At 41.3% G+C, this 16,170-nt stretch overlaps 1 protein-coding gene across 24 annotated transcripts in view; it reads left to right on the forward strand.

Moving 5' to 3' along the window:
• DOCK1 (dedicator of cytokinesis 1) overlaps positions 1–16,170 on the forward strand; it is a 547,089-nt gene that overhangs the window by 134,154 nt on the left and 396,765 nt on the right. For all 24 annotated transcript variants that reach the window (XR_007061946.1, NM_001377544.1, NM_001290223.2 and 21 more), the window contains 3 exons: positions 3,044–3,133; positions 3,483–3,583; positions 13,100–13,234. Coding sequence is in view for 23 of the 24 variants with exons in the window: in NM_001377544.1 (NP_001364473.1) it covers positions 3,044–3,133; positions 3,483–3,583; positions 13,100–13,234 (326 nt within the window). In the remaining variant the exon portion in view is untranslated. The remainder of the gene's footprint in view (positions 1–3,043; positions 3,134–3,482; positions 3,584–13,099; positions 13,235–16,170) is intronic.

Below are 16,170 nucleotides of genomic sequence, written 5' to 3' on the forward strand. Positions count from 1 at the left end.
CTAACTTTGTGCTTTTTCTCTGCTGGCGTGTCTGACATGCGCCGTGAGCCTAGAGAGTGGAACTGACTTGAGGCCACGGGGCTGTTAATGGCCAGCCAGGACTTGAGGAATTCCTGCCTGCACGGGGCTCCTTTTGCTGATAGGGATGCTGATAGATTGTGGGTTTGGTTCCATTTATTCAGGACCTCCCTTCTGAGTATTGATGACTGATAGCAGAGAGATGGCATTGCTTGGTAGATTGAGGAAGGTATTTGTGTATTTAGCAAAAGATACGCTGTCCCATTAGATGGAAAATGGAAATGGTGACTTTGGTGCCCTTGAACATGGTCTTAGAGAGAGGGTGGGGTGCCAGATGAAGCCCTTTCATGGCTCCGTGTGAAGGCCCTCCTTCAGGTGCTCGCCCCTGCCCCACTGCAGCTCCGCAGCCCAATACGTGCAGCTCCATCTCCCTGTGGTTCTGTTTCTGTGCCACTGACCATGTCATGTGTCTGGGTGGGACCAGGTGGTCTACTTCAGGGACTTTGCATGAACCGTGACAGGCCAGGTCCTGCCACCTGGGAGCCTGTTGGCAGGGAAATATTCGGCTGTTAGCAGATGGCATCAAGTTTTGACCTTCGCAAAGAATCTACATTCTGAAAATGATGGGAAATGGTGCAAAAGTAACAAAGTGGTACAGATCCACATAGTTAGGAGTTGATTAATCCCTTGACATCCAGACCAGCATGCCTTTTGGTCAGGTTGGTTTTGTTTCCCACTGTTTGCATGTGACATTTTCTGGTATAAAGTAAGTGGTGGCTGGCACAGCCAAGCATGGAGAGGATTTTACTCCTTAAAGGGTCTCTGATCTCATGCTGGGCATGCTGGGCGTCCTCTCTCCCAAAGGAAACGGATGAGGCTCATGCTGGGCATGCTGGACATCCTCTCTCCCGAAGGAGGCGGGCGAGGCTGTTGCTGCTGCTGTGGTTCCACAGCACTCCTTTGCGAGCAGGAGTTTGTGGTTTGCTTCTTTAATCTTGGGGCTATAGCAGTTTGAGATCTTCCATGCCATCCCAAAAGCCCCCTGGGTGTTGGGAAGAGGCTGCACAGTCCAGGAGGAATCTGAACCAAACACCTGACCCAGCCTTTCCTCTGATGTCCTTGCTGTGTGATCACCTCACCCATTTATTTTTATTTTTCTTTAAATTACAGTTTCATTGAGATATAATTCACATACCAAAAAATTCATCCTTTTACTCTGAAGTTTTTAGTGTCTTCATGGAGTTGTACAACTATTACCACTGTCTAATTTCAGAACACTTTCATCATCCCAAAAGAAACCACATAGCTATTAGTAGTCACTTTCTCCTCTTCCTGTAACCACTAATCTGCTTCCTGTCTCGATGGATTTACCTGTTCTGGATATTTTATGTAAATTGAATCATACGCCCTGTGGCCTTTTGTGTCTGGCTTCTCTCACTTAGCCTTGTGTCTTCAAGGTTTATTCATGCCGTAGTGACTATCAGTGCTTCACACCTTTTTTTGTTTTGAGATGAAGTTGTGCTCTTGTTGGCCAGGCTGGAGTGCAAAGGCGCAATCTCAGGATCTTGGCTCACCACAACCTCCACCTCCCAGGTTCAACTGATTCTCCTGCCTCAGCCTCCCAAGTAGCTGGGATTACAAGCGTGTGCCACCATGCCCGGCTAGTTTTGTATTTTTAGTAGAGATGGGGGTTTCTCCATGTTGGTCAGGCTGGTCTCGAACTCCCGACCTCAGGTGATCCGGCCTCCTCAGCCTCCCAAAGTGCTGAGATTACAGATGTGAGCCACTGCACCTGGCCTGCTTTTATGCCTTTTTATGGCCGATAACATTCCATCACATGGATAGACCGCAGATTGTCTTTCCATTCATTAGTTGACACACATTTGTATTGATTCTGCTTTTTTGGAGATGATGAATAATATTTGTGTACAAGTTATTTTGTGAACATATGTTTCCTTTCTTTTGGAGAGATGGCCAGGAATGAAACTGTTGACTCATATGGTAAATCTGTGTTTAAGTTTTTGAGGAATTGTCAAACAGTTTTTCATAGCAATTGCACAATTGTACATTTCTACCAGCAGTGTGCAAGGTCTCCAATTTCTCTGCGTTCTTGCCCACTTCTTATTAGTCATCTTAAATTGTAGCCCAGATAGTGGGTGTGAAGTGATAGCTCATGATGGTTTCCCTTTGTATGTCCCTAATGAGTAATCATGATAGATCAGTACTTCATCATGTTTATGGCCAGTATTTCGTTGTGTGGCGTTCTGCCTCTTCTTGACCTTCTCTTCTAATACGAATCATCACTTCCAACACCGTGATCTTCAGTCCGTCTTACATTTCCTGCAGGGGAGGATGGGGTGGGACTTGAAGCTGACTTGTAGTGTGACATGCCTTTGAAGTCTCTTCCTAATTACATGTATGATGCTTTGTCCTTCTTTGCAGTAGTATTTATTTGGTAAATTTTAGTCAACTGTAACTGTAATTTCGACATTGTTGTTGAATAAAGTAAGCACCTTCTGGTCTCAAAACTGGGATACTGCTGTGTATTCCAGTTTCAGAATCACGATCCTCTTCCATGCCTGGGCACCCTGGTTGGTAGAAGGTCCTTCCTTCCACTCAGCTGGGTCCTGTCCCTGTGTGGCTTCTGCCCATTCACTAGCTGAAGTCCTGTACCCAGTGTGTAGAATGAGTGAGATGCATCTTCCCAGAGTTGCCATTCAGCGCTTTGTCACCAGCCTTATGAAAACCGGAAAGAGGGTTGGAAAGGCCCCCTGGGGGAAGCAGTAGGCCCTCTCCTTGCTTTGACCCTCTCCATTTAACACTGGTGGCATTTCTTTGTTCTGAATTCGCTCATCCAAAATTTTTGTCTTGTGTATCTAGTGGCTGAAAAGGATCCCGAATGGCTTTATAGGTAGTGCTGGGGGCAAAGTGGGTATTTGGAGTACTGCAGAGATGATAGTTATTCCAGTGTGTGGGGGAAGTCCGGTGGGTTCACATTGTCACCCGACCTTCTGTGTCTATGCAGTTTCTTCAGGACACGTTGGATGCCCTCTTCAACATCATGATGGAGAACTCAGAGAGTGAGACTTTTGACACGTTAGTCTTTGATGCTCTGGTAAGAGAGCTTTCCTTCTCATATGCTTGGATAACACAGCGTTCTTCCATGCTGCAGCGTCTGAGGCTGGAGTCGGGGGCTTCGTCACAGTGACCTTGAACGCATTTTCAGTTGTAAATCCAATCAGAGATGAATTGGGGTGGCAGATTTTTTTTCTCTTTTTTTTAAATGTAAAACTGTAGTTAGGCAAATGTCATTTCTAGGGTAAGAAAAGGTAAACTAGCCACCAACTTCTATCTGAAAATGTTATGGTTCATATCCTAACACAGGGGTGCAGATGGTTCTGATGAAGATTATAAAATGGCTTACATTATGTTGCTAATGAAAATATTATTGATTAATTTGACAGGTATTTATCATTGGACTGATTGCTGATAGAAAATTTCAGCATTTTAATCCTGTTTTGGAAACTTACATTAAGAAACACTTTAGTGCAACGTTAGCCTACACGTAAGTTCCTACTTTGTTTTAAAACCAATACTTCTTTTTTTGGTATTTGTGTTATTTAGAGTCTTTTTCATGTACTTTTGTCTATGACTGTGTATTTACTCCTGCTCAAAACTCTGAGTTTACTGGAATAATTTTTAGTATTGTTTCCCTCTTAACATACCTAAAAACCTTGTTGAAAGAGATATGTGATAAATCATCGTAATATTCTGGAATAAATTCTTGTTCTCCCTCACACCTTCCATTTATCTTTGAAATCTTCACTTTATGTTCGATGAAACTGAGCTTTGGATGCGGAGTGTCTGACACCGCGGCTTCCTCGCGAGCCTTTGATGAATGGATAAATGCATGTGTTCCCGTGTTAAGGAGATTGGTTGTTTAGTGTGAATTAGATGCAGTTTTGTACTTTGCAATGTATCTCCTTGCTCTTTAAAGAGCACCTTCCCTTTTCTTTGACAAGCTTCAGCTGTCACTGTCTTGGATTCCTTCTATCCACCCCTCTGCCCGTCTGTGCCCCAGAGGTCTAGGAAGACACCAGAGGCTATGCATGGTGCCTGGGCCAGCTTAGCAGTGTGCCTGGTATTGAAGAGCAGAGCCCTGGAGTCTGGAGTCAGGCTGCCTGGGCTTGATGTGCAGCTCTGTCCCTCACAAGCTCTGTGATCTTGGGCAAGTTGCTTAACCTCTCTGTACCTCAGCCTTCTTGTCTGTAATCAGAGCATGATTGTAGGCTTGTGTGGAAATTTTAATAAGTTATTACGTGTAGAGTGCTTGGACTAATCCCTGGCACTTAGAAAGCACTAAGCAATTATTGGGTTTCATTATCATTAGATTTATTATGATGACTTACCGGCTCTTTCTTGGTGGAATTTATTGGCATTTATTCAGACTTTTTATTGTGTGAGTTACAGCAAAACATAAAGATTTACATAATTTCTTTAAGAACATCCCGCTTAGAATCAGTAGAAAGGATTCTTTTTAGTGTGAGTAAATTTAGTTAAAACTCCCTTCTGTGTCTTCAACATACTTTGCAAAATACCTGTTTTTCCTCCCTGTGTGCAGTCATGAACTCAGGTCAGAGGACTCTGGCCTCCTGAAGCCAGCTGTTAATATACCCTGGTCCTGCACCTGGATTCTTTCATATCTGCCTCGTGTGCGTGTTTACTGTAAGGTGGTGGGTGGAGCTCCAGGAAGGCTAAGAGCTGTGAGGTCCTCAAGCCTGCGGAACAAGCTGTGACTAGTTCTTTGCACTTGCTTGCTAATAAACGTTTGTTTAAAACATTTTGTTCGCTGAGTGGAGATGCCCAGTGTGTGGGCATGTCGAGTAGTTCCTTACAGACCGTGGGGAGGGTGCATTGCAGGGCACTTTTCCTGGCTCTTGTGACCAAAACAGGAGCTTGTGGGGTTTGCGGAAGTGGCCTGTGGACTGCAGCAAACGTAGCACGGCCTCCACGTGTGCTCATTTTCAAAATTCTGCCTTTTGATTGAAATGTGGCCAAAGAACTCTTCTCAGATTAGGCTCCGTGCTTGAATTTCAGAAGATGAGAGGCATGAATCAGCTTACCACACTGCAGCCACATCTCTTCATTGGCGCCAGCCTTTCCATGCTGTGCTGTTGGGGAAGGAGTGATGCAGCCATTCTCATAGGTGGAGAAAGAAAAATGGGAGATTTTGATGAGTTTCCTAATGAGACAAACAAAAAGTACCATTTTTTCTTTATGCTGTGATGGGACTGAGATAAGAATAGTATCCTCATGGCCGGGTGGAGTGGCTCACACCTGTAATCCCAGCACTTTGGAAGGCCGAGGTGGGTGGATCCCATGAGGCCAGGAGTTGGAGACCAGTCTGGCCAACATGGAGAAACCCCCATCTCTACTAAAAATGCAAAAATTAGCTGCGCGTGGTGGCACGTGCCTGTAGTCCCAGCTACTTGGGAGGCTGAGGCAGGAGAATCACTTGAACCCGGGAGGCGGAGGTTGCAGTGAGCCGAGATCGTGCCATTGCACTCCAGCCTGGGCTACAGATCAAGACTCTGTCTCAATAAAAAAAAAAAAAAAAAAAAAAAAAGGATCCTGTCATTCAATCTATGGAATCTGCTGAAAAAGAAATTTTTATTGTGGAAAATAAGTATTGTTAGCATGTTTTGGTAAACTGGCAACCTCACGTGGTTCCTCAGCAGCCTGAATTTGCATGTCTGCACCTTGAAATTCCAAAGGAGTCAGTGGCGACTGAGATAGCTCTGACCACATCATGGAAGGTCGCCTCCGCATTGGTGATATGCTTACAGTATTCTCTGGGCCAGGCGAAATTCCAGTAATATTATCCCAGAGTGTCCTTGTCCTCTTCTCCTCTAGAAGGCTTTGGTAGGTACAGGCTTACTTTAGACTCTTGTCCATGTAGCCTCTCTCCTTTGGTAAATGTTGAGATCTTTAGCCCTTCTTCCCAACAACACCAAGAGAAGGAATGAAAGATTTTGGCAATGGGCAGTCCTCTTCCGCACCTCGAGCTGTGTCTGCGGCTCCCCTGCGTGGGTAGTTCATGGATGCTGGAGCCCCACTGGACTGACCAGCACTGGTACAAGTGAGAATGAAGGGAGGCATCGGCTTTGGGGGCTGCTCTTCCATAAAACCAGCATGACTGGGCTCCTTTTTGTCCACCCTATGGAGCTGCTGCAGGCTCCTCACTGGCAACTGATGCTCCATCTGCTCCGCCCCCTCTAGCCAGTGCCAAGGGGTTGCTTTTTGTGCAGGTATAAGATGGCCTGGCAGATTTATTTTTATTTATTTTCTTTTTGCTGTCTAATTCCAGGTTAAGATTCATTTGCTGGTTCTAGGTCCTTCTTTTATTTATTTTCTTTCTTTTTGCTGTCTAATTCCAGGTTAAGATACATTTGTTGGTTCTAAGTCCTTCTCTTTGCAAATCATTATTATTTTTCTTTTTTTAATTGGTTTGAAGAATTCCCAAAATGTGTTCTATGGAATGTTTATTCCCTGGGATATTAATATATGTAATAAGAGGTGCGTGGTCCAGTAAGTTTGGGAAAATAAGTAAAACTGAGTGAAGCAGGCTTCATGCCAGGGTGTTGCATGCTCTCTTGTGCAGTGAGCACCACCCGCAGAGGCCTATATGGCAAGGTGTGTTTTCCAGCCAATGGAGATGGACACCGTAGCAGGAGGATCTGCAGACTTCGCCTCTTCAGAACAGCGAGCAGGAGTGTGACTCTGAGAGCATCAGGGCTCCCTACTAGAGCTCTGGTGCCTGATCGGTGTTAGAAATGGCTTCACATCCACTCAGTCTCCCAAAAAGCTTTTCAGGCCATGCATGGTGGCTCACACCTGTAATCCTTGCACTTTGGGAGGCTGAGGTGGGCGGATCATTTGAGGTCAGGAGTTCAATACCAGCCTGGCCAACATGGTGAAACCCCATCCCTACTAAAAAATAAAACCCAAAAAGTTAGCCTTGTGTGGTGGCAGGTGCCTGTAATCCCAGCTAATCAGAAGGCTGAGGTAGGAGAATCGCTTGAACCTGGGAGGCAGAGGTTGCAGTGAGCAGAGATCACAGCACTGCACTCCAGCCTGGGCAGAGCGACACTACGTCTCAAAAAAAAAAAAAAAAAAAAAAAGATTTTCATTGTGATGTATTGGTAAAATAGGTACTCTTAGCTCATCCATAATTGCAGTGAAGGTTGCTCTTCTGAGTGTCTTATTCCATAACCTGAGTGAGCAGTCTGGCCTTTACTGGCTCACAACTGAACCAGACATGCTGTCAGTACCCCAGCAGATTGCTTTTATGAACATAAAAATCTTTCATGTGGCTTTTAAAAAGCCTCAGTGAATTTTGTTGGATGCGTAAGATGTTGGTGACTGGAGAAGTTTGGGTGGCGGATATTCTTCCTGGTGTCTTACTGGCTGCACGCATGGTGCTAGTTTTTGGAGAGTTGCAGTGCAGCTCAGTACATTAAAAAATGACCGTGTGTTGTTGTTAATTCAGTTGTTCTTTTATTATGTGTAAGCTATTGCTTGAGGGTCATCCTTATGAACAAGATTATTATTTGATGAGTCAGTAATGGTTGAAAGTGTAGAAGTGTGGATAGAATTAAAAATGGCAGATCCTCACTACTGCCTCTATCATTTAAAAATAACACATGCTCAACGGATAAAAAATAGTAAAGAAATCTCACATTACTCAAATGTTATAGTGCAGACGATAAAAGTTCCCTTGTATATAATGCTACATATTGGAGATATCTACTGTGCCAGCATTTATTTTCTATGTTTATATTAACATTGTTATTAAGATTATGACTAATATGTCTGCATATTTTACAAAACAGCATTGTTATTTTTGCTTGCTTAAAATTTAAAAACTTAAAAATTGTTATAATTTGCATACAACAAAATGCTCATTTTAATTTTGTTTGGACGGTTTTTGTATACCCTTGGAACTACTGCCCAAAACAAGACATAAGACATTGCCATTCCCCACAAACATCCCTCTTGGCCTATCTGAGCCCATCCCACTCCCAGACAAGCAGCCACTCTGTGGTTTCTGTTAGGAATGTGTTTTGCCTGTTCTTAAACTTTACACCAGTGGGGTCATGCACTCTTTTTGTATCTGGCTTCTTCCCTTCCACATAATTCTCTTGAGATTCATGCATGTTGCTTTGTGCATCATTAAATATTTGATTTTGCTCCTCTCTATTTCTGAGCAGTATTTTATTGTATGAATATTTCATGATTTGTTTAGCCATTTTCTTGTTGATGGATACATGAAGTGTTTCTAGTTTTTGGCTATTCCGAATAAGGCTGCGATGAATATTCTTGTCCAAGTCTTTGGTGAAGTTTGTTTTTGTTTCCCTTGGATAAGCACCTAGCGGTAGAATTGCCGGGCTAAAGGATACGTGTATAGTTTTCTTTGTAAGATATTGCGAGACAGTTCTCCAAAAGGGTTGTACCATATTGCATTCCCACCAGCAATCTGTGAATGTTCTTTTGCTCTGTATCCTCATCAACATTTAGTAGTGTCTGACTTTGTAGCTATTGTACTGGGGGCAAAATTATATCTCTTGGTGATTTTAATTTGCAGTTACTGGATAACTGATGATACTGAGTACCTGTTTATTTTATTTTGATTTGCCATTTGTGAAATGTCTGTTCAAATCTCTTTTTCATTTTATATTTTGTTGTCTGTTTCTTATTGATGTTTATGGTATGTGTGTGTATGTGTTTGTGTGTTTATACACATAAATATATGTATTTTTTTTTGTCAGACATGATTTTTGAACATTTTCTTCCTGCCTCTGTTTATCCCTTTTCTTAATGGTGTCTTTCGATGAGCAGAAATCTTTTATTTTGTTGAAGCCTAAATCATCATTTAAAAAAACAGATAGGGATTTTCATTTTGTGGCTAAACAATCTTTGCCTAGCCAAAGGTCTTAACAATGCCTGCACTGTCTAATGTCACAGCACTAGCCTCGTGTGGCTATTTAAATAAAATTAAACTAAACAATTACTTCCGCAGTTGTGCCAGGTGTGTTTCAAGTGCTGAGCCAGGTTGGACAGCTCAGAAACAGGTTTCCATCACTGTAGAAAGTTCTGTTGGGCATCACTGTTTCAGAAGCTTTATGCTTTATGCTTTTGACAGAATTCAGCATCTGTTTATGATAAAACCTCTTGGCAAACTAGGAATAGATGGGAAGTTCCTTGATCTGATAAAGCTCATCTACGAAAAGTCATAGCTAACCTTATACATAATGCTGGAACATGGAAAGCTTTTCCTGTAAGTTCAGGAACAAACGTGGCTGTCTCTTCTTACTATATCTGTTTATTATTGCGCTGGAAGTAGTAAAGCAAGAAGAAATAAATGCGGGTATAACAATTGGAAAGAAAAACTGTATTTTCACGTTGATTTTGTATATAAAAAGCCCTCCTGAATCTATTTTATAATTTATTTTAAAACAAACATAAAAGGAAACTTCAATTGTATATATACACATAATTGAGAGGGAATTAAAAGTACAGTAGAATTACAGTATGGTACAGTACAGTACACTTTAGGGTCTTATCAAAAAGTCATAGGCCGGGCATGGTGGCTCATGCCTATAATCCCAACACTTTGGGAGGGAGGCCTAGGTGGGTGGATCAGTTGAGTTCAGGAGTTTGAGACCAGCCTGACCAACATGGTGAAACCCCATCTCTACTGAAAATACAAAAATTCGCCAAGTGTGGTGGTGGGCACCTGTAATCCCAGCTACTTGGGAGGCTGAGGCAGTAGAATCTCGTGAACTTGGGAGGGAGAGGTTGCAGTGAGCCACGATCACGCTACTGCACGCCAGCCTGAGTGACAGAGTGAGACTCTGTCTCAAAAATAAATAAATAAAATAATGAGGGATAAATTTACTGGTAGATGACTGAAAATTGCAAAATTTGCTAAGAGAAATATAAAAAGTAAATAATTTGATAATATATACCATGTTCATGTATTGAAAAATAAAATATTGCTTGAATGTTTATTTCAAATTATAGTTTGAACACAGTCTCAATGAAAATTCTGTATGCTTTTGTGAAAAAAAAATGGACTAATTTGAATATTTATACTTTCAAAAAGTCTAAAATACCGAAATAATATTTTAGAAGATCAAAATTTCAAGATTTATTATTAAACATCAGTAACCAAGATAGCATGGTATTGGCATAAGGACAGACAAAAAGTTCAGAAGGAGAGAATATAAAATACAGAACAGATTCACAATAGACCTTCGATTTTGTAACTGCTGTTTTCTTTTAACAGCATAATGACAAAACTGGCCTCTTTTTTTTTTTTTTTTTTTTTTTACTATAGTGATGAGGGAGTGCCCACCTAGTGTATTGAACTGCTGTGCAGTATTTCATTGTAGGGATGTATTACCATTTATTGAACCGGCTCTCAGAGGTTGGGCATTTGCATTGTTTATGTATTTTTACTAGTCAGATCATGCGGCAGTAAACATCATTTGATTCATTTGTAATTGTTTCTGTAGGACAGTTACTAGAGTTGGAATTCCTGGTGTCAAAGGATTTGAATATCCTTAATTATAATAGATATTTCCAATATAATAGATATTTCCAATATCCTTAATTATAATAGATATTTCCAAATATAACAGATATTTCCTTAATTATAATAGATATTTCTTAATTATAATAGATTTTCCAACTATTATATATAATAGATATTTCCAATAGATATTATAATACATATTGCCACTTTACCCTCTAAAAAATTTTTATGCCCTGCTGGGTGCAGTGGCTCACACCGGTAATCCCAGCACTTGGGGAGGCTGAGGTGGGTGGATCACGAGGTCAGGAGTTCGAGACCAGCCTGGCCAATATGGTGAAACCCTGTCTCTACTAAAAATACAAAACTTAGCTGGGCGTGGTGGTGTGCATCTGTAGCTGTGTGGGAGGCTGAGGCAGGAGAATCGCTGGAACCTGGGAGGTGGAGGTTTCAGTGAGCTGAGATCGTGCCACTGCACTCCCGCCTGGGCAACAGAGCAAGACTCTGTCTGAAAAAAAAAAAAAAAAGTTTTATGCCCATTTATCCAACAGCAGTGTTATGATACCCCAAAGTTTGTCTGTACTAGGCAGAAATTTTATTTAATTTTCATGTGTTTATTAATGAAGTTGATTAATATATTTCTAGATTTTAAAAAATTAAGCTTCTCACATTCCCTAAAACTTTGAGTAGATCTATTATCATTTGAACTTTCTTGTTATTTGAATTACAGTAAAGTAAAAATAATTTAATACATTTCCCTTCATCTTTAGCAAGGAATTAAAAAAACCTATCTATGAATTAAACACTGAAAATATTTATGAAGCCATGAATTAATATTAAGCTCCTAATATATAGTTTATTTATACCAACTGTCTATAATTACTTCTGTAGTAGGATGAAAAATTTACAAATAATTTTACTCAATTTTTGTGTATTCCAAAGTGTGTAAACTTTTTTATCATGGAAAAGATTTTAAATGTTTTCATATTAGGATGTTACTTGATTTTAGATCCCAATTTATAAATAAACAGACTAAGAGTATAGTAGTCATTGTGTTTTTAAAACTAAATGTTTTTGGGGAATCTTATTAGGAAATGTCAATATTTTAAAATCTTCATGTGTCCACTGATAGTATTCTTACTATTCTTATATATTGTTTATAGTCTTCTCTATAAGGATTTTTACAATATTATTAAAAATTTAAGACTGCTTCCTATTTGAAAGACCATTTGTAAATTTTAATTTTCGGTGTAAGAACTCTAGTTTTAGAAAATCAACTAAAATGAATAAAAGTGTCTGAGATGCTTTCCAATAACAAATACTGTTTCATGCCTTTAAAAAAATTGTTGTAAAATACACATAACATAAAATTCACCGAATCATTTTATTTTATTTTATGATTTTTTGAGACAAGGTTTCACTCTTGTCGTCCATGCTGGAGTGCAGTAGCGCGATCTTGGCTCACTGCAACCTCTGCTTCCTGGACTCAAGTGATTCTCTTGCCTCAGCCTCTTGAGTAGCTAGGACTACAGCCATATGCCATCCTACCCGGCTAATTTTTGTATTTTTTCTGGAGGCAGGGTTTCATTTTGTTGTCCAGGCTGGTCTCAAACTCCTGAGTTGAAGTGATTCACCTGCCTTGGCCTCCCAAAGTGCTGGGATTCCAGGTGTGAGCAAGAGCACCTGGCCCCTACCTAATAGTTTTAAAGTGCAATGTTGAGAAAATCGTCACCACTATCCATCAGAGAGTATTTTTGGTGTCATGCCTTTATGAAAAAAATTTTTGTGTCTCTGTTTGGCTGTAATGAAAATCTCTTCGATTTTATTGTTTAACCTTGGGGAAGCTAGTGTTTTACCTGTGGAAGTCCTGGTTTCCTCATCCATTAAATAGGATAATACTGCCTCATAGTGTTGCTGTGAAGGCTAAGTTAGATAATGCATTTCACCTGCTTAGAACAACGTCTACACTTAGAAAGGGCTTATTAAATGCTCAGCCTTTGCTCTCAGAGGTATTTTATCAGGCACATTTACTGATTAGAAAACGTTTTACAGGCCGTGCAGTGGCTTACGCCTATGATCCTAACACTTTGGGAGGCCAAGGGGGGTGGATTGCCTGAGCTCAGGAGTTTGAGACCAGCCCGGGCAAATGGTGAGCTCCTGTCTCTACTAAAATACAAAAAATTAGCTGGGCGAGGCGGCGTGTGCCTATAATTCCAACTACTTGGGAGGCGGAGGCAGGAGAATCACTTGAGCCCGGAAGGCAGAGGTTGCAGTGAGCCGAGATTGCACCATTGCACTCCATCCTGGGTGACAGGGTGAAACTGTCTCAAACAAAAAAAAAAAAAAAGAGAAAACGTTTTACAGATATTCATATACTGATAGATGGAAACCAAATAAAAGTAACCTACTTGTATATTTCCTTAGCAGTTAAGATTTGAGATATTTTCCTTTCCTGAGCTTATTTGTGCGTGTTTGCATTGTGAATAGGAAGTTGACAAAAGTGTTGAAGAACTACGTGGACGGTGCTGAGAAGCCGGGAGTAAATGAGCAGCTGTACAAAGCCATGAAAGCGCTAGAATCCATCTTCAAGTTCATCGTGCGCTCCAGGATCCTGTTCAATCAGTGCGTACCTATCCCCTCCATGCCCGGGCTCTCAGAGGACTGGCAGGAGATCCTTCACTTCTTTCCTTCCCCTTCTCTCGTCCCCTTATTCTTTCCTTTCTTCTTCCCCCTTTTTCCCCCTTGCTTTCTAGGCTGAGAGAGCACTGTTGATCCTGGGGTGAGCTGCCCACTCTTTCCTTACCCGCCTGGGTCCCTGCCGGTGCTGAGGCGGGAGCCCTGTTCCTGGTCTGAGATGTGTGCCTGTGAGTCGAGCCTTGGCTCCTGAAAGCATTGGCGATGACGCAGGTGCAATCCTGGGCGTCTACTGAGGGCTCAGAAGCCCTTTTCAGGATATCTTTATATGGCAAAAAGTCCCAAAAGAAAAACAACAACAAAAATAGGCCGGGCGCAGTGGCTCACGCCTGTAATCCCAGCTACTTGGGAGGCTGAGGCAGGAGAAGGGCGTGAACCCGGGAGGCGGAGCTTGCAGCGAGCGGAGATCGCGCCACTGCACTCCAGCCTGGGCGACAGAGCGAGACTCCATCTCAAAAACAAAATAAATAAATAAAACAACAATGAAAAGGCAAAACCAAGTGAAATTGCCTCACTTGGGCAGACTCTGGGATTTCCTCCTCCTCTTTTCCTCAGTAGAGTGATGTTTCATTTCGGGAGAACTCTTCCTACATAGGGTATTTCCGTGAGGAAGGATACTCAGGTGCTTTAGCCTAGTGACAGTTTTCACACGCTGTGTGGATGAACTTATGAATGATTTTTGAGCTTTAAAGTAAATCGAAGGGTTAAAGGGGAACAAAAAATGTATTTATTACCATTGAACTGTATACTTAAAATGGTAAAGATGGTGAATTATATATATGTATATTTTGCCTCAATAAAATACATAAATTGGGATATTTATGGCTTATTTTATAGAGAGCCTTAATATTGTATAGATACAGATGCAGGTTAAGAGCTGCGCTAAAATGAGGACTTTCTAAGTTGGCCCACGCCTCTTCACTGTATGATTCAAAAGATGTGAAAAGTAAGTGTGTTGAGGGTGGGGTGTGGAATTTCACTCCCTCTGCTTGTTTTTTTGGGGGATGGCTATTTTGTGGGTGACCTGCCATGAGTGATGTCAATGGATGTTGGTGGTTCTACGTTGTTATTGTTCTTGTTGTGAGTTCCACACACAGATGGGATTCATGAACCTGTGTCCCTCTGAATTAGCGAATACATTTGCCTTTGAAAAGCATGGTGCCCTTGTAACCTATTAACGAGAATAAGGAATTGAAAGTGTGGGCCCACATCAGTGCCTTCCCGTTTCCTCCTCACTGTGTTTTCGTTTGTCTGAAGCAGTCGTGTCCAGAAGAAGGACTCAGGAGAAGGGGGAAGAATTCAAAATCTAACCATGTGTCTACCATGATAGTAATAAGGACAAAGCAACAAGTTATTGACTGTGTGTTGACCTATCAGAGTCATAAACAGGGTGGTAACCACTAGTGATGTGTTACTGGTCAGGGACTGGAGTGTGCTTCTGTTCACTCTGGCGTGTCCATGGTCAAAACCACAGTCCTCGTGCTGCCATTTTTGCATACAAATATGGCATGTTTGAGGGCATCATGGTTTTGTCCTTGACTTAGATATTACACTCTTTTATTTTGCTTATTATGGATATGCATGACCTTTGGTGTGGATTGAAGCTTTCCCTCAAGGATCTAAGTTGTGATTTATTTTCTCTTTGTTAGGGTGAAACACAGCATGGTAAGCTAGGTTATGTTTTCTTGTATTTTAATTCTATTTCAGTAAAGTTAATTCTATGAAAATGAACTTCCTGGCCCCCCCTGCCTTGCTGTTATATTTTCCTCACTGATTTTAAATCTCTGATTATGCTAAACCCAAGTCAGTACTAGGGTGGGAGGATGAACTTGAAAGATGTTACAGATTTTTGTCATGTTTTATTTGAAAAATGTTAATTTTGTGCAGTTTGTGATCAATATGACATTGACTCAGGCATTTGATGATCTGCATATTCTCACCCGATAACACTGGACTTTCCCTTTCATTCAGAGGTTTGTACTTAAAACGATCGTGCATTGATAATGGTGTTTCTGCTATAGTAGTAAATGCTATAGTCTTTTATACAATAATGCTGCTTTAGAAAAGATTGAGTTACCCAGGTTGACCAGTAGCAAATTATTTCTCTGCCTCGTTCTTTAATCTCTTTCAATTTCAAAATACAAATGGCACAAAATCTTAGATTCATGGTCCATAATTTTTTTTTTCGTTTGATCAGTCTAATAGTGCTTAGGAATATGATTGGCTGCATGTAATAGAAAAACACCATTTATGTGACTTAACCATATGGGGTTCACTTTTTTTTTTTAGTCACATAATGTGCAGCCCGGAGGAAGAGTTCCGAGTTCATGCACCTGCGTGAGGACTCAGCGTCCTGATGTCCTTGGCTCCTTTGATCTCTCTGCCCCACCATCCTTAGTGGGGTCTCTTTATCTCCTAATCCTAAGATGGCTTCTGCCCCTCCCAGCATCAGCTCTGCATTCCAGGTGGAGGAGAGGGGAAGGCAAAGGAGAAACAGCTGTGCCAGCTATTCTTCTTTGAAAGAGCTTTCCTCATCCCTAGAAAGTGTCATGTGCTTTCATCTTATTGGCCAGAACCATGTCACATGACCACCCTACCTGCAAGGAAGCTGGAAAGGATTTTTAGATGGGCTGGTTGATGCTTTCTACAATACCAGAGTGATTTTAGTAAAGGAGTTAGGGAGAAATAGATAATGGATGGGCAGTTAACATTCTCTTCCTCATACCTTCAACCCAGATGGTCTGTTCCCTGAGAGCTTCCCTAACTCATTCTGGGTTACTAAATCCTACTTAACTAGGTTTTGCAGAGCCTTTCTTCTCCATTAGTTTGGGAGTCAATCTCTGAGACTTCTGTCACCAGTATCT

The sequence above is a fragment of the Homo sapiens genome, chromosome 10 (genome assembly GCF_000001405.40).
Source record: "Homo sapiens chromosome 10, GRCh38.p14 Primary Assembly".
Classification (NCBI taxonomy): Eukaryota; Metazoa; Chordata; class Mammalia; order Primates; family Hominidae; genus Homo; species Homo sapiens.